This window comes from Homo sapiens, chromosome 19 (genome assembly GCF_000001405.40).
Source record: "Homo sapiens chromosome 19, GRCh38.p14 Primary Assembly".
In the NCBI taxonomy this organism is placed as follows: domain Eukaryota; kingdom Metazoa; phylum Chordata; class Mammalia; order Primates; family Hominidae; genus Homo; species Homo sapiens.
In genome coordinates, this window is record NC_000019.10 from 13,882,231 (window position 1) to 13,906,125 (window position 23,895).

A 23,895-nucleotide genomic window follows, 5' to 3' on the forward strand; every position below is an offset into this window, starting at 1 on the left:
CTTGCTTTCCCAGGGAAGCTGAGGCATAAAACTCGTAGAGGGCGAGGAGGAGGAAGTGGGTAGAGAGGTTTGTGGGCGGAAGGTGAAGGAACTGAAGCCTCAGCCCCAAACAGCAGGTCACGGGGCCTCTACAGAATCATTTATTATGGGTCTTCCCAGAAGAAATAAAATGGAAATGGGGAGAAAGAAAACAAAGGGAGCTCTCTTCTCCTCCAGGAAAGAAACAAATTCTGAACCATCCATACTTGGCTCAGGACCCTAAAATTTGCAAATCCGGACAGGATGGGCCCTGCTCAGAGGTGGCCAGCTTCCTGGAGCCCAGGCCCGCTTGAAGTCACTGGGGCTGTGGGAGACACAGTTTCCCTCCCTGAAGCCAAGGGTGGCAAATGACCTTGACCCTGGCCAGGTGAGGCCAGGACCTCACGGCCTCCTTTGTGTTGTCCATGGAAGACCAACTTCCGGGCAACTGAAGGGAGGTTTGTAGGGTCCACTAGGACCCCCTGGAGCATCTTGGAGGAGGTCTGCGGACATGGGGGCTGGGTGGCAAAGGAAACACAGACCTCAAAGTGGCCTACAACTCCCTCCAGGGTGGGTCCCCTCGAGGGATATTCCCAGGCCCCTTGGAAGGGTAAGGCAGGGGGGCTTTGCCTCCCAGCTTTGTCTTCCGGTAGTTAAGGCGCTTGAAAGCTTCCAGGTCCCGGTGGGTGCCCATGATCAGCCGGCTGTGGGGGAAACACAGGCATGCGTGTGGGGCTCAGTGGTCACCAGGTGACAGAGGGGGCCGCGCCTCACAGCCACATGGTCACCAATGACTCAGGTGCACACACACGGCTCACACACGTGCACATAACCAGAAAGGGCCTGTTGTAGCACAGGCTGGGCCTGTTGCAGCCTTTCTTCAGAGCCTGTGTTCTGCAAAGGACGGGGGAGGGGGGCCACGGTGAGGACCCAGCAGCAGTGAGGTGCCTGACCCTCGCTGCCCACCTAGGGGCTTCACACTTCAGTCCCTCCCTGCTCCTCTGAGTCCCCACTGGCCTCCCGCAGACCCTGTGCCGTGAGTCCAAGCCCACCCCGTACTTCAGGTTGGAGAGCTCAACGATGAGGCCACGCACGACGTTGGTGGCATCCTCCATCCTGGAGGCCTCAGAGGCCTGGATCCCCACGAAGGTCCTGGCCAGCAGGGAAGGAAATTGAGAGTGGCCCGACCTCACTGGACTACCAGAGCTCTCCAGTGGGAGGGGCTTCCGCAGGGCCTCGCGCCATCTTTTCCAGGTGTCCAGCCTGTCCTCCTCTGTTCACGACAGAACCCTGATGGCCAACCCAGCTGGCTCCACTGCCCAGCAGGCCCAGAACCCAACCGCTTCTCCCCTACCTGCCCTGCCCTCTCAGGACGCTGCTGCCACCGCCTCCCTATCTCCTGCCCCTGTGGCTTGTCCCCCACAGGCACTGGGGGCTGTGAACTTGGAAACCTAGCTCAGAGGCAAGCCCTCTCCTCCCGCAGCTGTGCACCACCTGCCTGCCCCGTGCCCTCCCCTCATCCCCCGCTTCTCCCCTCCCCTCGGCTCTAGCCACACTAGACTCCTGGCCATTCCTTGAGCACCTCTCAGGATTCTGGAATGTTCTTTCCCAAATGTCTCCTCCTGGTGGTGGCTTCCCTGATTCCTCCTTACATTTTAACCCCTTCTCCGCTGCCTTTTTTTCCCCAACACTCTGCCATCTGACTATCTAATCTGCTGTCTCTCATGTCCCCACACCCCGAATCCCCCAGTAGCATTCAACTCTGTGTTTTGTCCCACACTGCCTCCCCAGCACCCAGGGCAGTGCTAGAAAGGCCAGCCCAGATGGCATTCATATCCTTGGAAGGTTTGGGAGGTCAAGGTGGGAGGATGGCTTGAACCCAGGAATTCAAGACCAGCCTCGGCAATGTAGTGAGACCCCCATCTCTACAAATAATACAAAATTAGCCAGGCATAGTGGTGCGCGCCTGTAGTCCCAGCTACTCAGGAGGATGAAGTGGGAGGATCAGTTGAGCCTGGGAGATGGAGGCTACAGTAAGCTATGATCCTGTACACCAGCCTGGGCAACAGAGCAAGACTCTATCTAAAAAATATCCCGCCAGGCACGATGGCTCATGCCTGTAATCCCACCACTTTGTGAGGCTGAGGCAGGTGGATTACTTGAATCCAGGAGTTTGAGACCAGCCTGGGCAACACGGCAAAATCCCATCTCTAAAAAAAAATATACAAAATTAGCCGGGTGTGGTGGCGGGTACCTGTAATCCCAGCTACTTAGGGGGCTGAAGTGGGAGAATCATGCGAGCCTGGGAGATCGAGGCTGCAGTGAGCTGAGGTTGCACCACTGCACTCCAGCCTGGGTGATGGGAGTAAGACTGTGTCTCAAAAAAAAAAAAAAAATCACGGAAGAGCCAAGGAGCCACAGAACACCTCCCCCACCCCACAGAACAGGTGCCACTCTCAGACACAGGCAGTACAGGTGGCCAGGCGGGTAAGTGGGGGCCACCCGCCCTAAACCCGCCCATGCCCCAGGCTTCGCAGCACCTCCGGGGCTGTCACTATGGAAACTGCTGTCCTGCTGCTCCTGCCTTGGTCACCCTGAGGTGTCTGGCAGCCCCTGGGTCTTAGCCTCTTGTGTGTGTCATTCAGCCTCAAGCCACCAAACCAGACCCGGGGCCCTCTGGGAGCTTCCAGACATCCAGGACGGTGGGGAGGGGAGCTGCATTGGCCCTGGGACGCTGTCGGAGATTCAGATGTGAACCCTCCCGGCTCTTCACTCAAACCACAGCGGGCCGCTCTGATGAACTGCCTCTGGTCCACGTGCAGGTTGTGTGTGTGGCTAAGGGAGGTGGCCAGTGGCACAGCAGGTACAAGTCACAGGGAGTGACGGCAGGAGGCAGGGACAGAGCCGCCCTCTGCTAGGGGAGGAGAAGGAGGAGGAGGGTGTGGGGGCCACACACAGCCAAGGGCTGAGTCCCAAACCCTCCTCCACCCCTGCCAGACAGAAACAGAAACTTGGCCATAAATAATTGATAAGCTGCCGCCTCTGCAGAGAGGCAGGTTCAAGTGCCAGGTAACAGAGAGGGCAGCCACCCAGCGCTGGCTTCGAGGAGGGCTGTGGGAGGGCACGGGAGGAGGGGACAGGCTGCGGAGACCCCGGGCATGGTGCGGGGGAGAGGGTGCCCTCCTCACACACAGCAGGCTGGAGGACGGCTCACTGGTGGCCTGTGGGAGGGAGGAGGTGGTTCGCCTAGGGCAAGAGCCAAGTGGGGAGGGGAGGAGGTGAGGGCAGGTTAGACTCACTCGGGTGCCCGCCTGGTGCCAGAGCTAGGAACAGCTCCAAGATGGTCTCAGCCAACAGTTCTGAGCCCTGTCTGGGTCCCCTCCCCTTCCCAGGGACTCAGGAGGAAGCTTTGGCCCCTCTTCCCAGAGAGAAAGAGCCCACAGAGCCGGAGGCACTGTCCCAGGGCTCCTGGGGAGCTTCTGGGTGGGGAGATGCTGGGTTGGGTGTCGATCACTGGTCACTGTCGCCCATTCTCTGCTTTCGGGGAGCAGGGGAATGTATACAGTTTGAAAGACAGGGCTCAGCTCCCCTGCTGGACTGAGGAAGTCGAGGCCCAGGGAGGGAGAACTGGGGTCTGTCTCCTCCATCTGTCACCCTCCTTGGTAAAATTTGTGAGGGTCCTGGAGCCACTTCTCACCCACGCCACACCTACCTCGGCTGGGCCTTGGCCACTGCAACAGGGTCTCCATTGGCATGTGAGCTGGGGCCCGGCCAGCAAGGGCCCGGCTTGTTCCCCGAAGGAAAGAGCTGGAAAGAGAGCACAAGGTGTGAGTGGTCGAGGCCTGGGTCGGGCAAGCTCTGCACAGGGGAACCAGAAGTCACGCTGATGCTTTTGGCTTCACCGCGGCCACAGCAGGTCACATCGGGGCTGGCTGGGACTCCTGCAGAGGAAGAGCGGTAACGGGGAGGAAATCCACGATGGGTAGACCCGAGGCTACCAGCCTGGGCTGCGCCCGTCCTTTCCCCTTGGAAAGAGAAAGGCCACAGCCAACCCTGGTGTCCGCTCCTAGGCCCGGGCCTCCCACAGGCTGATCTGGGCAGTGGGGGCACCACTGTGCCATGATCTCTGGCCCTGACACCACTGCAGTCTCCTGCATGCCCCTCACTGTCTTTACGGGTACAGAGAAAACACAAAGCGGGGGCAACTGCGGTGAAGTGGAGTCGTCTACCTTGGCTGAATGTGCCACAGACATCCTGTTAGGAAAGGAGTTTGCAAATATAACACGAGGGGAAAACTCCCAGTGAATACAGGGGAAAGCCTGGTAACTCCACGGCGCTTAAGCTTCTAAGCGTCAATGGTGGTTTAATTTCCATGGAAAATGTTAAGCTCCGTTACAGTGGTGACCTATGATGTCCCTCAGAAAAGAGGCAATGAGCCAGGCTGGGGACACCTGTAATCCCAGCACTTTGGAAGGCTGAGGTGGGAGGATTGTTTGAGGCCAAGAGTTCCAGACCAGCCTGGGCAACACGGCGAGACCCTGTCTGTACAAAAAAAAAAAAAAAAAATTAGCTGGGCATGGTGGCACGCACCTGTGGTCCTAGCTACTTGGGAGGCTGAGGCAGGAGGATCAACTGCTTGAGCCCGGGAGGTTGAGGCTGCAGTGAGCTGTGATTGTGCCACTGCACTCCAGCCTGGGCGACAGAGCAAGGCCCTGTCTCTAAAATTTAAATTAAATGACTCCATATGCAGATTGCAGAAGCTCCATCAGTCCAAGAGTGAGTGCAAAGGATCTATGAGAAAGTAACACCAAACCCTCCCATGACGAGACCTTGGTTTGAGGTTTGAAAGCTCTGTCTCTGCTGTGTCACCTCTGAGTCCCCTCCTCTAGCACAGTGTGTGGCCACAGTGAGGTCAGGAGGAGGTGCTGAGACGGCCCGCTCGATCCATCTTTGCTGTTCCCCGTGCCCCTGCCCATGTTGGGAGACACGGGCCTCGGCCTTCCTGCCGGGAGCCACCCGGAACCTTCCCACGGGAATGTGTTCCTTGCCTGGGTCGCCTCAACTTGCTGGGGAACGCCTCGTGTCAAAGCCAAACACGCCCAGGCCCTGGCAGTGCTGTCAGGGCGGTGCCTCCTCCCCTGGCTGGGGAAAGGCTGCTAATGCTGGTCGGGTTTGACCAGCCTGGCTGTCTGTCTGGATCCCCCCAAGTCTGGATTTCAGGGTCTTTTTCCAAGCTTGCAGTTTGGCAGCCCGTTTAGGAGGGCTAGGGGCTTCACCTGCTGGATGCCACCTAGGCACACCTGGCCCCAAACACCTTAACCATTTCCCAGCCTTCTCTCCAAGCCACCACTCACGAGACCACAGACTGGAGGCAATGGAGGCGGCTCTTCTCTCAAGCGAGGGATTTGCATTTTGCAAGGCATGAAGCTCTCATAAAATTTCAGCTGTGCCCAGCACCAGAACTCCTGCCTTTCCCACATGCTCGTGTTCAGCCTCTACCACTGAACCACACTGTGACTCACTTTTTTTTTTTTTTTGAGACAGGGAGTTCAGCACCCAGGCTGGAGTGCAGTGGTGTAATCTCGGCTCACTGCAACCTCAAACTCCTGGGCTCAAGTGATTCTCCTGCCTCAGCCTCCCAAGTAGCTGGGACTGCAGCCATGCATCCCCATGCCTGGCTAATTTTTTCTTTTCTTGAGAGAGTCTTGCTCTCTTGCCCAGGCTGGAGTGCAGTGGCGCGATCTTGGCTCACTGCAACCTCAGTCTCCCAGGTTCAAGTGATTCTTCTGCCTCAGCCTCCGGAGTAGCTGGGATTAGAGGCACACGCCACCATGCCCAGCTAATTTTTGTATTTTGGTAGAGATGGGGCTTCACCATGTTGGCCAGGCTGGTCCTGCTCTCCTGCCTCGGTCTCCCAAAGTCCTGAGATTACAGGTGGGAGCCACTGTGCCTGGCCATGAATTTTTTTTTTTTTTTTTAACATCTCAACACAGGGACAGCCAAAGAAACAGAGGCTGACATTTGAAAAGCAAATTGGACTCTGCGTTCCAGGACGCGGCGGCTGGGGCATGACCTGGGTGCCAGCCTGGCCTCCTCCCCTCCCACCTGCCTCACCTCTAGCAGGCGCACGAACTCCTCCAGAGTCTTCACTGCCACACCCAGTGTGTGGACAGAGAACTGCCTACCTCCCTGGGCGTGACTGTGATGCCCTCAGCCCAGGCTCAGGTGTGCCAACGGCTAGGGAGGTCGCTCTTTCCCTGGGGGGCAGGGCTGAAGCAAGGCTGCCATCTGCCCAGACAGGAGAATGAACGCCAACGGCTGGCACCGGCTCTGGAGCCAGAGGAGGCCACATCCGGGCAGCCGGTGGGGCGGGCAGATCCCTGAAGGAGGCAAAGCCCTTACACGTTCTGGCAGAAAAACAAAATGACTTATGTATGTTTGGAAAAGAATCATATCAGGACCCCCAGAGGACCCTAAGGAGATGGGCAAAGGCTCTTTTGCAGCTTGGGAGTGAAGCCCCCTCCCCAGGCCCAGGTATAAAGCCATCCCCAGGCCCAGCTTCTCTCCATCTGTGTCTACCCGCCTCAATACATCCCCTGGGACCCCACGGCCAGGGTCAGGCACTGAAGCAGAAGCTGCCAGGGGCTGGCACTCCTGGGGACTCCAGTTCAATGTGGGGGGCCCGGCTGAGAAAGCAGCTGTGTGTCACCATCCCTAGATATGTCGACAACCACCAAAAGGCAGGTCTACACTTTCTGGAAAACCACCGACTCCACACCCAGTAGAGCTGCAACTCGGACTCCTATAGTCGTTGGCTGTGTAAATGGTAAGCCCTGAGCCCCAGCTCCCCCTCTGCCACTGCACCGAGTGAGGAGGGGGCTTGTGGAGGTTGGGTGCCTGCCCTGGGCAGGTATGTCTGTCACTCAGGGCAGCTCTCACCTGCTCAGGTGGGGCTTCGAAGTCAGAGGCGTCCAGGGCATCCTGTATCTGGCTGTCCAGCAGGAAGTCGAGTTCCACAGCTAAAGAGTCTGCCCAGGTGCCCTGGTCTGCAGAATGAGGCAGGTGGTCTCGCTGCCCTGCCAGCTCTGAGGTGGTGTCTGGAATGCCCTGCTGAGCCCCGGGCTCCTGGAGAGGGTCGTCTGCTATTTCTCTGTGTTCCAGCACAACAGAGGCTTGCGGGGACACACGGAACCCCTCGAGGTCTCGTTCGAGGTTCTGGCCACCTAACTCGGCTTCCTCTTGAGCAGGACCTGGCTCCTGCTTCTGATTGACACATGGACCTGTGTCCGGGGATGCATGACCGGAATCTCCAGCACCCATCATGGACTCTCCGCTCCCAGGTGCCAGAGCCAGGGAGGCTGTAGGGCCCACTAGGACATCGCCGGGGGGCTTGCCATCCTGCCCTGCCTCCCCACTTTCTCCTGTGGTTTCCCCAGTGAGCGAGGTGCAGCCTGGCAAGGCCCTCCTGTGGCCTCCATCAGCGGCCTTCCTCCTGGGAGAGGCAGGTGATATGGCACTGGCCTGCCCATCGGGCCCAGCCACCTCCAGAGCCCTCTCTTCCAGCTCAGTGGGGTCTGTGCTCAGGTCTGCGATGACAACCATCCCGAGGGAGGAGCATCCCAGGCTGCTATGAGTCCCTTCCCCTTCCCTACCCATCCTGCTGGGGGTCTGCTGGGGGTCAGGGGAGCCCTGGGCCACAGACCCGGGTTCCAGGCACCAAGAGGCAGGGCCCAGTCCTGGAGCAGGGCCTGAGGTAGGAGCTGATGCTGGGGTACAGGGGACACCGTCTCCCTCCTCCTGGGGCCCTCCAGGCAGGCCAGCCCCTGCTGTCCTTTGGGCCCCTCCCTCCTGGGGGGCTCCTCTGTCTGGCTTCTCCCCTTCAGAATCAATGCTTGGTAGGTGTTCCTTTTGGCCACCGTCACCTGGAACCCTGTCTGTCTCAGGCTTGCTGTCATCGGCCCCTTGTTCTGACAGGTGGTCTTGGCTGGCCCTCTGTGAGGCGGACAACCCCGTCCCCCTGTCTGGAGGGTCATCAGGCTGAGAATCCCCACTGCCGGGCACCGCCTGCACAGGGCTCTGGCTGCTCTGCTCAGGGCGGGCACTGTCTGCCTGCGTTGGGTCCCCCAGCTCCGTGGCCTCCTGGAGGGGGACCCCCAGGGTCTCCACTAGCAGCTGGCATCCTGGACTCTGGGCGCTGGACTCTGCGATTGTTTCCTGTGGACAGAAAAAGACTCAGCCCCGGGGCCTTTGATAACCAAGTTCTCCGAAGAGTTTTCTATTAGGTTGGTGTAAAAGTAATTGCGGGTTTTGTCATTACTTTTAATGGCAAAAATTGGCCAGGCGTGATGGCTCATGCCTGTAATCCCAGCACTTTGGGAGGCCGAGGTGGGCGGATCACTTGAGGTCAGGAGTTCAAGATCAGCCTGGCCAAAATGGTGAAACCCCATCTCTACTCAACAAATACAAAAATTAGCCAGGCATGGTGGCAGTTGACTGTAGTCCCAACTACTCAGGAGGCTGAGGCAGGAGAATTGTTTGAACCCGGGAGGCGGAGGTTGCAGTGAGCCGAGATAGGACTGCACTCCAGCCTGGACGACAGAGTAAGACTCTGTCTCATACACACAAAAAAATTAGTGGCAAAAACTGCACTTACTTTTGCACCAATCTAATAGTTGTCACCACCCTGTTCAAAGACTCAGATATTGGCACCGGCCATCATGCATGGAAATAGGCATCAGTACCAGGGCCGGCGACTGGAGGGGGATCTGGAAGCACAGAAACCTCTCCTTCCACCAAGCTCTTCTCTCCACCAGCACCAGGTACTCAATCAGATCAGGGATATGAAAATCAAGGTGGCATTCAGACCACACCAATGTCAATTTCCTGTTTATTATTATTATTATTATTATTATTATTATTAGACAGAGTTTCACTCTTGTTGCCCAGGCTGGAGTGCAATGGTGCGATCTTGGCTCACTGCAACCCCCACCTCCCGGGTTCACGCAATTCTCCTGCCTCAGCCTCCCGAGTAGCTGGGATTACAGGCTCGCGCCACCATGCCCGGCTAATTTTGTATACTTAGTAGAGACAGAGTTTCTCCATGTTGACCAGGCTGGTCTCAAACTACAGACCTCAGGTGATCTGCCCATCTCGGCCTCCCAAAGTGCTGGGATTAAAGGCATGAGCCACTGCGCCCAGCGGCTATTATTATTTTTATTATTTATTTTTCATAATTTTGAGACAGGGTCTCACTCTTTCGTCCAGGCTGGAGTGCAGTGGTGTGATCACGGCTCACTGTAGTTTTGACCTTCCTAGATTCAGACGACCCTCCCACCTCAGCCTCCTAAGTAGCTGGGACTACAGGTACACACCACAACTGGCTAAATTTTGTGGTTTTTTTGGTAGAGATGGCGTTGTGCCATGTTGCCCAGGCTGGTCTTGAATGCCTGGGCTCAAGTGATCCTCCTGCCTCGGCCTCCCAAAGTGCTGGGATTACAGGTGGGAGCCACTGCACCTGGCCAAGTTTTAAAACAATTATTGTAGCCTGGACGCAGTGGCTCATGCCTGTAATCCCAGCACTTTGAGAGGCCGAGGCAGGCGGATCATTTGAAGTTGGGAGTTCGAGACCAGCCTGGCCAACAGGGTGAAACCCCTATTCTAATAAAAATACAAAAATAAGCCAGGTGTGGTGGTGTGCACCTGTAGTCCCAGCTACTGGGGAGGCTGAGGCAGGAAAATCACTTGAACCCAGGAGGTGGAGGCTGCAGTGAGCCGAGATCACACCACTGCACTCCAACCTGGGCGATAAGCAAGACTCCATCTCAAAAAAAAAAAAAAATTATTGTAGAGACAGAGTCTTGCCATGTTGCCCAGGCTGGTCAAGGGAAGTCTCCCAAAGTGTTGGGATCATAGGCATGAGCCACTGCACCTGGCCAATTGCCTAGTTTTGGTGATGGACTATAGTTATGCATGGTGTTACCACTCGGTGAAGCTAAAACAGAGAACACCGGAAATTCACTCTGTACCATTTTGTGTTTTTTTAAAAATTGTGCTAAGGCCGTGCGCAGTGGCTCATGCCTGTAATCCCAGCACTTTGGGTGGCTGAGGCGGGCAGATCACCTGAGGTCAGGAGTTCAAGACCAGGCTGGCCAACATGGTAAAACCCCGTCTCTACTAAAAATACAAAAATTAGCTGGGCGCGGTGGGCAGGCGTCTGTTATCCCAGCTACTTGGGAGGCTGAGGCGGGAGAATTGCTTGAACCCAGTGGGGCAGAGGTTGCAGTGTGCCAAGATGGCACCATCGCACTCCAGCCTGGGTGACAAGAGTGAAACTCTGTCTCAAAAAAAAGAAAAAAAATAAAATAAAGAATTGTTGCATAGTCAACACACATCCATAGCGCAATGTACTGAAAACGGTGGGTGGAGAGGTGCAGGCCTCACCATTGCCAAAGAACTCCAGGGTTAAATGGGGCTGCCGAGGCTGGGCCAGGAGGCTGCACCTGCGCTGGGCTCAGCCTGGCTGATTTTAGAGCCTTACCAGGCTAAAGGCCCCACTCCCACGGTCCTCATCCTTCATCTCTTCTTTTCTTGTCACTGTCTTCCTGGATTTTGCAAACTGGGGAACAAACCTCCCGAATGAGTTCTGTAAACCGGATACAAGAACAAAGCAGCAATAAAGATAAGAGAGGAATGAGGTCTTAGGAAAAAAGCAACCCCAAACCTGCTCCTTTCTTGTAGCCTTGAGAGAACTCCACCCTTGCCCTCTGGGCACATTCCCTCCAGCCCCTGTAGACCATGAGTGAGCAATTGGTGACAAAGAAGGGAGACACAGAGCCGGAACTTTAAGGGAGGCAGTGGTGCTTCTATATCCACGAGGCCACAGGACGAGCTCACCTGGGAAGGAGGAAGGGGAGCTGGCTCCTTTTCTGGTTGACGGAGGAGCCGGCAGGGAGATCCTGTTTCCTCATCAGGGGAGCTATGTAGGAAAAGATAAAACTGAAGGAGATCTGCCCGGGTGCGGTGGCTCACACCTGTAATTGCAGCACTTTGGGCGGCTGAGGCGGGCAGATCACCGAGGCCAGGAGTTCGAGACCAACCTGGGGAACATGGTGAAACCGTATCTCTACTAAAAATACAAAAATTAGCTGGATGTGGTGGCGCACGCCTGTAATCCCAGCTACTTGGGAGGCTGAGGCAGAATGGCTTGAACTCAGGAGATGGTGTTTGCAGTGAGCCAAGATTGTGCTACTGCATTCCAGCCTAGGTGAGAGAACAAGGTTCTGTGTCAAAAACAAACAAACGAGGGGGATCTGAAATCCTCCTAGGTTGTCACTCACCTATCGAGACAAACGCAAAACAAAATCCAACAGGAAACCAGTGCTAAGAGTCTCCTAGGCTGGGCGTGGTGGCTCATCCCTTTAATCCCAGCACTGTGGGAAGCTGAGGTGGGTGGATGCCCAGGAGTTTGAGACCAGCCTGAGCAACATAGTGAGACCCCTTTTCTACAAAAAATTTAAAAATTAGCTGGACGTGGTGATGTGTGCCTGTGGCCCCAGCTACTTGAGAGGCTGAAATGTCACGATCATCTGAGCCAGGGGAGTTCAGGCTGCAATGAGCTATGATCACGCCACTGCACTCCAGCCTGGGTGACAGAGCAAGACCCTATCTCAAAAAAAAAAAAATGTCTGCTAGATGGAAGGCCCTGGAAAACCTGCTTTGAAAGAGTGGGATGGGGATGGAGAAGCAGTGACCTGAGAACATTTAACTGTCAAGGAGGGTGCAGAGTCCCACCTGGAGAATACACTGCCTTAACAGGTGACTTTGTTACATTTATAATCCCAGGAATTGCCTTCTGAACTGGGAATAGGGATATTCTCATTTGGACGGACACTCCAGCCCTGACACGGCACATTCTAGGGAAAGGAAATTGTGGATGCAAGAAACATAGTGTCTTTAAAAACTAGTGAAACTTAGGGTTATATTTAAATAAATAAGGGCCAGGCGTGGTGGCTCACGCCTGTAATCCCAGCACTTTGGGAGGCCGAGGCGGGCGGATCACCTTAAGTCAGGAGTTCGAGACCAGCCTGGCCAACATGGTGAAACCCCGTCTCTACTAAAAATACAAAAATTAGTTGGGTGTGGTGGCGGGCGCCTTTCATCCCAGCTACTCAGGAGGCTGAGGCAGGAGAATCGCTTGAACCCGGGAGGTGGAGGTTGCAGTGAGCCGAGATTGTGCCACTGCACTCCAGCCTGGGTGACAGAGAAAGACCCTGTCTCAAATAAATAAATAAATAAATAAGGATATGTATATCGTTTTGTTTTGGCTAATTATTTTATTTCTTGTAGATATGGGGTCATCCTTGTTATGTTACACAGGCTCCTCTTGAACTCCTGGGCTCAAGCGATCCTCTTGCCTCAGCCTCCCAGTGTGCTGGGATTATAGGCATGAGCCACTGCACTCAGCCCTGATTGCTTTTCTTTTTTTATTGGTCGTTAGCTCACATAACAACAATTCCTTTGTTCCCTTCTTGATTAAGGAAGAGGAGGAATGTGGAAGAAGGATGGGTTTGACCAGCAGACAGAATATGAGTTCTGTAACCCTGAAAAATGCAATGTTATCTTTGCCCACAGTTAAAACTTTTTTTTCTTTTTTTAGATGGAGTCTCGCTGTTGCCCAGGCTGGAGCGTAGTGGCATGATCTCAGCTTACTGCAACCTCTGCCTCCTGGGTTCAGTCGATTCTCCTGCCTTAGCCTCCTGAGTATCTGGGATTACAGGTGCGCCACCACACCCAGCTAATTTTTGTATTTTTAGTAGAGACGGGGTTTTGCAGTGTTGGCCAGTCTTGTCTCAAACTCGTGACCTCAAGTGATCTTCCCCCCTCGGCCTCCCAAAGTGTTGGGATTACAGGCATTAGCCACCATGCCCGGCTAAAACATCAACCCTTCTTACCAGCGAGGAAAGCTAGGAGAAGCGAGATCCGAGGGCCCTGAGCTCTGGGAGGGAGTGGGTCACAGCACTAGATAGGTTGTGGGTCTCTTTCCCAAAGCATTGCTGTCTGCTGAGCTGCTGTGCTATGTGGACTGTCAGTGGGGAGACCTGCCGGAATGTTCAGAGCCACCTACCTGGAGACGGCCTTTCCTGGTTCCTCCCCGTGCTGCTGTGTAGAGGGAACAGGTCCCAATTTGCCCTCTGGCTCCTCAGGGTGATGTAAACAGCCCAACATGGAACTCTGGGGGTCCCCATAGAAGTCTCCTAGCCTTGGGTTCTTTAGGGGTTTTGGAGGACAGAGTCCCTCTCCTGTTTTAGAGACAGAGGAAGATGAAGGGGTGGGGGATACAGCCACTGCTCATGGCTGACAACTCAGGTCTCCCCCACTACAACCAGGCTGCACGCGAGAAGGGGCCGAATCCATTTCACTCTCTGCGGGGTCCCAAGTGCCTGTAAGAGCATCTTGTACACTGTTGGTGCTCAATAAATAAATTATCCATGACTGGATAAATGCACACCACCAAGGGCAGACAAGACTAAATTATGTACCATTCTAATGTGCTGAGACATCTGCAAAATAGCCATCCTGGGAAAACTGGGACTCACAGCCACCGGGTGCTGAAGAGGTGATGCTTTGGCCACGTCCTGGCCCCTTGCATTTCTGCACTAACTTCCCCATCACTGAAAGCAATTGCGATGTGTCTTCTTCTGGCATTTAAGAGGCTAAAGATGCTTATTGACATCTTTGTATATATAGCGCAGTGGCTCACGCCTATAATCCCAGCACTTTGGGAGGCCGAGGCGGGTGGATCACCTAAGGTCAGGAGTTCAAGACCAGCCTGGCCAACATGGCAAAACCCCGTCTCTACTGAAAATACAAAAATTAGCCGGGCATGGTGGCACCCACCTATAGTCCCAGCTACTTGGGAGGCTGAGGCAGGAGAATCGCTTGAACCTGGTAGGCGGAAGTTGCAGTGAGCTGAGATTGCGCTACTGCACTCCAGCCTGGTTGACAGAGCGAGACTCTGTCTCAAAAAAAAATTAATATATATTATATATCATATATAAAATACATACATATTCATATTTAATATATACATACATATAAAATATATAATTATAATGTATTTACATATTGCATATTTATAATTATAAAATATATTATTTAAATTATATATTTATGATATATTAATATATTATAAACATTATATCCTTGTATTATATTATATATTTATATATGATATATATTTATTAAATATATACTATATATATTATATATCCCATTATATTGCCAGGTTGTTCCATGTGATCTAAAGCCAGGCCACGCCACCTCAGGATTCAGCCTCAGCCAAATATGTAAATATATATATTTATACATATGTATTTATACATACATATGTATTTATACATACGTATTTACATATATGTATTTATGTATTATATATACTATATATATATTTTTTCTTTTTTTAAGACAGGGTCTGGCTTTGTCTCCCAGGCTAGAGTGAGGTGGTGCAACTGTGGATCACTGCAGTCTTGACCTCATAGGCTCAAGCCATCCTCCCACCTCAGGCCACTCAAGTAGCTGGGACAAAAGGTGTGTGCCACCATGCCTGGCTAAGTTTTCTTTTGCTTTTGTTTTGTTGAGACAGGGTCTCATATGTTGCCCAGGCTGGTCGTGAACTCTGGCGCTCAAGTGATCCTCTTGTCTCGGCCTCCCAAAGTGCTGGAATTACAGGCATGAACCACTTTGCCTCGCCAGAATCTATCTTTTGAATTAAGAAAACTCCCTTACATCGAAACTTTTTTTTTTTTTTTTTGAGACAGAGTCTCGCTCTGTCACCAGGCTGGAGTGCAATGGCACGATCTCTGCTCACCGCAACCTCTGCCTCCCGGGTTCAAGTGATTCTCCTGCCTCAGCCTCCTGAGTAGCTGAGACCACAGGCACGCACCACCACACCCAGCTAATTTTTGTATTTTTAGTAGAGACAGGGTTTCACCATGTTGGCCAGGATGGTCTCGATCTCTTGACCTCATGATCCGCCCGCCTCGGCCTCCCAAAGTGCTGGGATTACAGACATGAGCCACCGTGCCCAGCCACATCAAAACTTTCAATAGTGGCTGGCTTGTAAGACTTCCCCAAGCCTGGCCCCAACCTAATCATGCATTCAGTGAACAAATGATAAGGGTTGACTCTAGTGAGTTCCACACCAGATGCTGTCCTAAGAACTTGTGTGTGTTAAGATAAAAGCTCAAGGCAGGGTGCTGCTGTTATGCCTGCCTTACAGAAGTACCTTGAGCAATTCAATATTATCTTTGTCCATGATTAAAATATTGGCCTTTGCCACCAGCAAGGAAAGATGCCAGCCTGTAATCCCAGGACTTTGGGAGGCCGAGGCAGGTGGATTGCTTAAGCTCAGCAGTTCAAGACCAGCCTGGGCAACATGGCGAAACCCTGTCTAAAAAGTACGAAAATTAGCCAAACATGGTGGTGCATGCCTGCAGTCCCACATACTTGGGAGGCTGAAGGGGGAGGATGACTTGAGCCCAGAGGAAGAGATTGCAATGAGTCCAGACTGTGCCACTGCACTCCAGCCTGGGCAACAGAACTAGAGCCTGTCTCAAAAAAACATTTAAATTAAACATTTAAATTAAAATAAATAAATAAAAGGGCAATATGGCAAAACCCCATCTCTACTAAAAATGCAAAAGTTAGCTGGGCATGGTGGTGGGCACCTGTAATCCCAGCTACTTGGGAGGCTGAGGCAGGAGAATCGCTTGAATCCGGGGGGCTGAGGTTGCAATGAGCCAAGATGGCGCCACTGCACTCCAGCCTGGGCAAGGGAGTGAGATTCCATCTCAAAAAAATAAATAATTAAATTAAATTAAAAGGAAAGGAAAGATGCGAGAATTGACACCCAAGGGCCCCAAGTTCCCAGAGAGGTGAAAACGTTAAGGCACACAGAGGCCCAGGAACCAAGGCTGGCACCCCGTCCAACTCCAGAACCAGCACACTTAAGAATACTTGAGCATTTACTGAATGCCTACTATGTAGTAGATTTCTGCCAAGGCAGGCAGAACAAAAAGACAAACCAACAGCCAGGTGTGGTGGTGCACACCTGCAGTCCCAGCTACTCAGGAGGCTGAGGGGGTAGGATCACTTGAGTCCAGGATCTCACTTGGGTAACACAGTGAGATCCCACCTCTATAAAACATTTAAAAATTAGCTGAGGGTGGTGGCATGCACCTGTAGTCTCAGCTACTCAGGAGGCTGAGGCAGGAGGATTGCTTGAGCCCTGGAGGTTGAAGCTGCAGCAAGCCGTGATTGTGCCACTGCACTCTGGCCTCAGCAACAGAGCTAGATCCTATCTCTAAAAAAAACACTAAAGAATAACACTATCCAGGACCAGGCGCAGTGGTTCATGCCTGTAATCCCAGCACTTTGGGAGGCTGAGGCGGGCGGATCCCCTGAGGTCGGGAGTTTAAGACCAGCCTGACCAACATGGAGAAACCCTGTCTCTACTAAAAATACAAAATTAGCCGGGCATGGTGGCTCATGCCTGTAATCTCAGCTACTCAGGAGGCTGAGGCAGGAGAATCGCTTGAACCCGGGAGGCGGAGGTTGCAGTGAGCCGATATCGCGTCATTGCACTCCAGCCTGGGCAACAAGAGTGAAACTCCATCTCAAAAAAAAAAAAAAAAAAAAAAGAATAACACTATCCAAACCCCAGATGGACTCTTTCCAACCTCAGCTCTACATTACACACTTACACATCGTGAAGTAAACCTACTGAATGAGTCTCTCTTTCCTCGACGCCAATTGCTAGGGTCTGCATCAGTCCCCATTCAGCTGTTTGCCCTCCACTAAACCACAGCAATCTTCCTGTAATTGCTTCTAATTCTTCTTCTTCTTCTTTTTTTTTTTTTTTGAGATGGACTCTCGCTCTGTTGCCCAGGCTAGAGTACAGTGGCATGATCTCAGCTCACTGTAACCTCTGCCTCCTGGGTTCAAGCAATTCTCCTGCCTCAGCCTCCTGATTGGCTGCGACTACAGGTGCAAGCCACCATGCCTGGTTAATTTTTTTGTATTTTCAGTAGAGACGGGTTTTCACCACGTTGGCCACACTGGTTTTGAACTCCTGATCTCAAGTGATCTGTCTGCCTTGGCCTCCCAAAGTGCTGGGAATGCAGGTGTGAGCCATGGCGCACGGTAAGTTGCTTGTAATTCTGTCAGTTACAGTTCGGGAGTGCCCGTTTAGAACTTTATCCCACTGCTGTGTATTTGCTTAGCTCTCGCTGAGAGAAGCATTTTCCTTTGTCCTCTGACTACAGCTGGAGGATCTCCAGGGCAGGAACTGAGTGCAATGCACCCTTTGATCTCCCCTTCGCCCTGCCCTGCCCCATCAGGTGCCCACCTCAAAGGATGTACCACCACAAGTAAAGCTCCGATGGACATTGCTTATAGAAACACATTCCTAACCGTCCGGGTGCAGTGGCTCATGCCTGTAATCTCACCACGTTGAGAGGGTGAGGTGGGCAGATTGCTTGAGGTCAGGAGTTCAAGACCAGCCTGGCCAACATGGTGAAACCCTGTCTCTACTACAAATACAAAAAATTAGCCAGGTGTGGTGGTGGGCACCTGTAGTCCCAGCTAATCAGGAGGCTGAGGCAGGAGAATCACTTGAACCCAGGCGGCGGAGGTTGCAGTAAGCCAAGACTGCACCACTGCACTCCAGCCTGGGTGACAGAGCAAGACTCTGTCTCAAAAGAAACACGACCTTGTGGTCTGCCAGAAAAGACAAAATATAGCTGCTTTGTTTATTTGGTTTCTTGAGATTCTCAAACACTTGCTCACTTGGCTGACTGAATGGCCATTTGTACCAAATAAAAAGCAAAAAAATATCAATGGCATTGAAGAGTCTTCTCTTTCCTTCCTGTGATCTGTCCACATGGGACTAATTTAAGAAAAAATAAGGCAGAACCTTGTGTTCGACACCAAAGACTAAAGACATTGGGAGGGAAAAGGCCTCTTTCACCACCTGCCAGAATTTTCTTCCTCTCTCTCCACCCTTCCAGCACACACAGAAAGGGTTGTCCAGGGCCAGCCCAGAGGTCCACTGAGCTGGGGAGTCTACCGCCAACAGAGGCCCCAAGTGACCTGCTGTGGGTGGACCTGGCTGTCCCCAGCTTCCCCCTCCAAGGTCAGAGAAATTCTGATGCCTCCAAGCAGCCTGTTGCTCATCTCTGCACAAAACATGTTCAATCTGCTGATCATTTCCTCTCCTGTCCCATATCTTGGGGGAAAAAACATGCACACCATTCCCTAAATTCATCAGCCACTAAATTAAAAAGTCATTTCAAAATTTTGAAGAAATTTAACTTACTTTAGAAAATGATAGGCAAATGGAACTCTACTACATCATATTGGGAGTTTGTCTTTCTGACTTGGTTTGTTCCTTTTTTTTTTTAGACAGAGTCTCACTCTGTCGCCCAGGCTGGAGTGCAGTGGTGCAATCTCAGCTCTCCTGGGCTCAAGCGAGTCTCGTGTCTCAGCCTCCCAAGTAGCTGGGATTACAGACACATGCCACCATGCCCGGCTAATTTTTGTGTTTTTAGTACAGATGGGGTTTCACCATGTTGACCAGGTTGGTCTCGAACCCTGACCTCAAATGATCCATCCACCTGCCTCGGCCTCCCAAAGTGCTCAGATTACAGGCATGAGCCATCGTGCCCAACAATCTTTCTTTTTTTCTAAGAGACAGGGTTTTGTTCTGTGGCCCAGGCTGGAGTGCAGGCGCAATCATAGCTCACTGCAGCCTGGAACTCCTCAGCTCAAGCCATCCTCCTGCCTCAATCTCCCAAGTAGCCAGGACTACAGGTAGGCACCACCACACTGGTTAATTAAAATTTTTTTTTTTTTTTAGAGACTGGGTAACATTATGTTGCTCAGGCTGGTCATGAACTCCTGGTCTCAGGCAATCCTTTCACCTCGGCCTCCCAAGTAGCCTGGAGTACAGGTGCGTACCACCAAGCCTGGCTATTTTGGGGTGTTTTTCTTTTCAAATGATGAAATTGTATAGGTATGTTGACAAGTAAACATGGTCATGATCTACCACAAAGTGAAAAATGGAGGTTGCAGATCAGTAAGTGTGATGATTCGATTTTCCAATAAAAACATTTTATCTGGGCCAGGCACGGTGGCTCATGCCTGTAATCTTTGGGAGGCTGAGGCAGGCGGATAACTTGAAGTCAGGAGTTAGAGAGCAGCCTAGCCAACATGGTGAAACCCCGTCTCTACTAAAAATGCAAAAATTTGCCAGGCATGGTGGCAGGTACCTGTAATCCCAGCTACTCAGGAGGCTGAGGCATGAGCATCACTTGAACCCAGGAGGCAGAGGTTACAGTGAACCAAAATCGTGCCACTGCACTCCAGCCTGGGTGACAGAGTGAGACTGTCTCCAAAAAAAAAAAAAAGAAAAAAGCTCAACACTGTATCTGTATATATACAGAAAAAGTCTGACCAGGCATGGTGGCTCATGCCTGTAATTCTGAGCACATTGGGAGGCCAAGGCAGGTGGACTGCTGGAGCCCAGAAGTTCAAGACCAGCCTGGGCAACATAGTGAGGCCTCGTCTCTTCCAAAAAATACAAAAATTAGCCAGTCATGGTGGCACACACCTGTAGTCCCAGCTATTCCGGAGGCTGAGGTGGGAAGATCACCTGAGCCTGGGGAGGTCGAGGCTGCAGCGAGCTATGATTGTGCCACTGCTCTCCAGCCTGGGCGACAAAGCAAGACTCTGTCTCGAAAAAAAGAAAAAAAAAAAAGCTGGGTATGGTGGCTCACTCCAGTAATCCCAGCACTTTGGCTGAGGCGGGCAGATCATGTGAGGCCAGGAGTTCAAGATCAGCCTGGGCAACATGGTGAAACCCCATCTCTACTACAAATACAAAAATTATCTGAGCGTGGTGGCAGACACCTGTAATCCCAGCTACTCAGGAGGCTGATGCAAGAGAATCGCTTGAAACCAGGAGGCGGAGGCTGCAGTGAGTCAAGATCGTGCCACTGCACTCCAGTCTGGGCAACAGAGTGAGACATCATCTTAAAAAAAAGTCTGAGCTGGGCGCGCTGGCTCATGCCTGTAATCCCAGCACTTTGGGAGGCCGAGATGGGCGGATCACCTGAGGTTGGGAGTTCGAGACCAGCCTGACCAACATGGAGAAACCCCATCTCTACTAAAAATACAAAAAAATTAGCTGGGCATGGTGGCATATGCCTGTAATCTCAGTTACTTGGGAGGCTGAGGCAGGAGAATTGCTTGAATCTAGGAGGCAGAGGTTGCGGTGAGCCGAGATCGCGCCAGCCTGGGCAACAAGATCAAGACTCTGTCTCAAAAACAAAAACAAAAAAGTCTGGGCTGGGCGCGGTGGCCTACTCCTGTATCCCCAGCACTTTGGGACACCAAGACGGGCAGATCACCTGAGGTTGGGAGTTCAAGACCAGCCTGACCAAACCCTGACTCTACTAAAAAAATACAAAAATTAGCTCAGCATGGTGGTGGGTGCCTGTAATCCCAGCTACTTGGGAGGCTGAGGCAGGAGAATCGCCTGAACTTGGGAGGTGGAGGTTGCAGTAAGCCGAGATCGCGCCACTGCACTCCAGCCTGGGCAACAAGAGCGAAACTCCGTCTCAAAAAAAAAAAAAAAAGTCTAGAAGCAGTGTACCGAGGTTAGAGTCCTGTCCTGTTTTTCATGCTGTTCTACAGTTGATCACTGTCCTATGGCTATGCTAGATGTCAACATTAGGGAAAGCTTGGAGAAGGGTAGCTAGAACTCTCTGAATTATTTTTGCAACTTTTCTTTAAGTCCCAGATTACTTCAAAATAAAAGTTTTCTTAAAAGTCTGGAAGAAGAATTGTTAACAGCAGTGTACATTTGTGTACTACCTTAGGTCAGTTCTGGGTGCTTTACAGATACTAATCCACATGTGAGCTCTAAGGGCAGGATTCTTCACCTTGGAGGACATTTGGGGCTGGATCATTCTCTGTGGCTGGGGGGCATCCTATGCATGGTAGGATATTTGAGCAGCATCCCTGGCCTCCACCCACTAGATGTCAGTATAATTTCCCCAGTTATGAAAACCAAAAAAAGTCTCTAGGCCGGGCACGGTGGCTCCCACCTGTAATCCCAGCACTTTGGGAGGCTGAGGCAGGCAGATCACCTGAGGTCAGGAGTTTGAGACCAGCCTGGCCAACATTGTGAAACCCTATCCCTACTAAAAATACAAAAATTAGGCGGGCGTGGTGGTGCACATCTGTAGTCCCAGCTACTTAGGAGGCTGAGGCTGCAGAATCGCTTGAACCCAGGAGGTGGAGGCTGCAGTGAGCCAAGATCTTGCTACTGCACTCCAGCCTGGACGACAGAGTCAGACTTGGTCTCCAAAAAAAAAAAAAATAAAGTCTCCAAACATTGCCAGCTGTCTCTGGAGGTCAAAATCCCTTCCTCTCACCTAGTTGAGAAACACTGCTCTAAAGGAAAGGGTAGTGGCTTTTATTATCCCCAATTTACAAAAGGGGAAACTGTGGCACAGAGGAAATCATCCACCACCACACACTGAGCAGAACTGGGATGAACCCAGGTTTTGGGCCCCAGAGTAAAACACTCAGCCACATACCGAGTGGCCTTGTAGTACATCAAGCATTATTCCAGGGGTCATCTCTGGGACTGGTTCCGCAGGGAGGCTGTCCCGCTGCCCTGAAGCCCGGGGAGGCCTCCTCTAAGCTGTGGGACCCCACCAGAGGCTTGCAGAAGCTCCAGAAAACTTTCACTTTTACTTTTCCTGTATGCCCTCTCCGTTATTTCTATTTTTCTTTCTTTCTTTTTTTTTTTGAGACAGGGCCTCAATCTATCAGTCAGGATGGAGTGCAGTGGTACGATCTGGATTCACTGCAACCTCCACCTCCCAGTTCAAGCAATCTTCCTGCCTCAACCTCCTGAGTAGCTGGGACTACAGGTGCCTGCCACCACGCCCAGCTAATTTCCTTACTTTACATTGTAGAGACAGGATCTCGCTATGTTGCCCAGGCTGGTCTTGAACTCCTGGACTCAAGCGATCCGCCCACCTCGGCCTCCCAAAGTGCTAGGATTACAGGCGTGAGCCACCACACCGGCCTTCTATTTTTCTTACCAGCATGAATTAAATCCTTTTTGTCTTTTTCTTTTTTTTGAGACAGAGTCTTGCTCTGTTGCCCAGGCTAGAGTGCAGTGGCACCATCTTGGCTCACTGCAACATCGGACTCCCAGGTTCAAACGATTCTCCTGCCTCAGTCTCCCGAGTAGGTGGGACTACAGGCATGTGCCACAACACCTGGCTAATTTTTGTATTTTTAGTAGAGACGGGGTTTCACCATGTTGGTCAGGCTGGTCTTGAACTCCTGACCTTGTGATCTGCCCGCCTCGGCCTCCCAAAGTGCTGAGATTACAGGTGTGAGCCACCGCACCCGGCCAATCCTTGCTTCCTTTTAAGGAGGTTAAGGCAGTCGTGTTAGCCAGATCTGCAATAAACAAGCCCACATTCTTCCCACAAGCAGAAGCAGAAATCAACAAGTGTCCATTTGAATGAACGTACCTGAGGTCCGCAGCTTCTTCCTCTTAGTCATTTTATCTTCCCCTTGAGAAATCTGAAAACAAGCAAAATCTCTCATCATTATAAGCAGTCTCTGTCTCTGTTTATATCCAGTGGCTTTGGCTGAGAGCAGAGGTTACCCCTACCTCCACCTCAGCCCATTTGGCTGCCCCAGGGGTCAGATGGCTCCCACTGGGACACAGGATGGGACACAGAGTCACAGCCACTTTGGGCCATGGCCAGGTAGGAATTCAAACCTCCTCCAAACTGAAGATCTTATGCCCAGGACCTGAAAGACAAATGGGCCCTGGGGGGTCCTTATAGATAGCCCCGGGGACCCAGACTCTGGTCCCTAGGATGAAACAGCCTGTGTGAAGCCCCTCCCTCCAGACTGGGGTATCTGGGGGCCCTTCCAAGGACACTTGAGGACTCTCCAGGGGCCTCTGGAGACCAGCCTGGCCAATATGGTGAAACCCCCTCTCTATTAAAAACACAAAAATTAGCCTGGGCATCGTGACGCACACCTGTAATCCCAGCTACTTGGGAGGCTGAGACAGTAGAATTCCTTGAACCCATGAGGCAGAGGTTGCAGTGAGCCGAGATCGCTCTACTGCACTCCAGCCTGGGCGACAGAGCGAGACTCCGTCTCAAAAAAAAAAAAAAAAATTAGTCAGGTGCGGTGGCACACACCCGTAATCCCAGCTACTCAGGAGGCTGTGGTACAAGGCCAGGAGGCAGAGGTTGCAATGAGCCAAGATCGTGCCACTTTAAAGGGGACAGCTGGGTCCTTGGAGGGGAAAGAGCTGCCATAGGCCGGTTTCTCCCAGCCTTGGGGGCGAGGCAAACCAGAACGGACCTGGGCCACAGAAGTCGTTGAGGACCCTCTGTCCTTATCAGAAACGAGCTCTGCCTGGATCAGTTGGGAATAAGTCGCTTGAATTATCCGCGTTACTCTTTTTGGAAAAAATAAATGGCCAAATTGGCCCTCACAGAACGCTGGAGGCCTCGAGTCCGGAGGTGAAAGATGGAAAGGCCTGAGGGTGGGCGCTGTAGACCCCGCTCCCGGTGACAAGCCCCACACTGACACTACGCCGACCACCGAGAAGTGAGGACTCCACAGGCCGAGAGCCCACGTGAAGCCGGAGCCCGTCGGTGACTGACAGACGCTCTGAACCCCACAGATGTCGCCGCCCCTCACACCTGCGCGCGCTCTGCCTCTTTCCCGCGCCCCGCGAGGTCCCGCCCCGCGCATGAGCGACGCAAACAC

General features: G+C 52.4%; 1 protein-coding gene across 22 annotated transcripts, besides 2 other annotated features; it reads right to left on the bottom strand.

Annotated features, from left to right (window-relative positions):
• Positions 1–117: 117 nt before the first annotated feature.
• Positions 118–23,887, bottom strand: BRME1 (break repair meiotic recombinase recruitment factor 1). 22 transcript variants are annotated; one of them, NM_001393646.1, is made up of 10 exons: positions 23,829–23,887; positions 23,485–23,581; positions 22,632–22,683; positions 13,142–13,316; positions 10,912–10,993; positions 10,556–10,660; positions 6,958–8,232; positions 3,731–3,825; positions 1,078–1,170; positions 118–722 (listed from the first exon to the last, which is right to left on the bottom strand). In NM_001393646.1, exons 3-10 carry the CDS (start codon positions 22,660–22,662, stop codon positions 572–574), a joined length of 2,007 nt encoding a protein of 668 aa, NP_001380575.1. In that variant the 5' UTR covers positions 22,663–22,683; positions 23,485–23,581; positions 23,829–23,887; the 3' UTR covers positions 118–571. The 22 variants fall into 22 exon arrangements, 18 of the variants coding, with proteins under 18 accessions (NP_001380575.1, NP_001380574.1, XP_047295386.1 ...); NM_001393645.1 differs by lacking the exon at positions 23,485–23,581; XM_047439430.1 differs by lacking the exon at positions 1,078–1,170.
• Positions 694–1,539: an enhancer, noted in NCBI's record as "H3K4me1 hESC enhancer chr19:13993737-13994582 (GRCh37/hg19 assembly coordinates)". NCBI's record gives its function as "activates a minimal SCP1, AML or CMV promoter by ChIP-STARR-seq in naive H9 embryonic stem cells {active_cell/tissue: H9 hESC(naive)}" and the evidence as "EXISTENCE:reporter gene assay evidence [ECO:0000049][PMID:30033119]".
• Positions 7,348–7,849: an enhancer, noted in NCBI's record as "H3K4me1 hESC enhancer chr19:14000391-14000892 (GRCh37/hg19 assembly coordinates)". NCBI's record gives its function as "activates a minimal SCP1, AML or CMV promoter by ChIP-STARR-seq in naive H9 embryonic stem cells {active_cell/tissue: H9 hESC(naive)}" and the evidence as "EXISTENCE:reporter gene assay evidence [ECO:0000049][PMID:30033119]".

Excerpts from the sequence above, each read along its gene's own strand:
- BRME1 (XM_024451712.2), bottom strand. The coding sequence starts at position 23,880 with ATGCGCGGGGCGGGACCTCGCGGGGCGCGGGAAAGAGGCAGAGCGCGC. Across the intron at positions 22,684-23,484 it reads CAACGACTTCTGTGGCCCAG|ATTTCTCAAGGGGAAGATAA; the intron begins GTCCGTTCTGGT and ends GCTTGTTTTCAG. Across the intron at positions 10,994-13,141 it reads CCAGGAAAGGCCGTCTCCAG|CTCCCCTGATGAGGAAACAG; the intron begins GTAGGTGGCTCT and ends TTTCCTACATAG.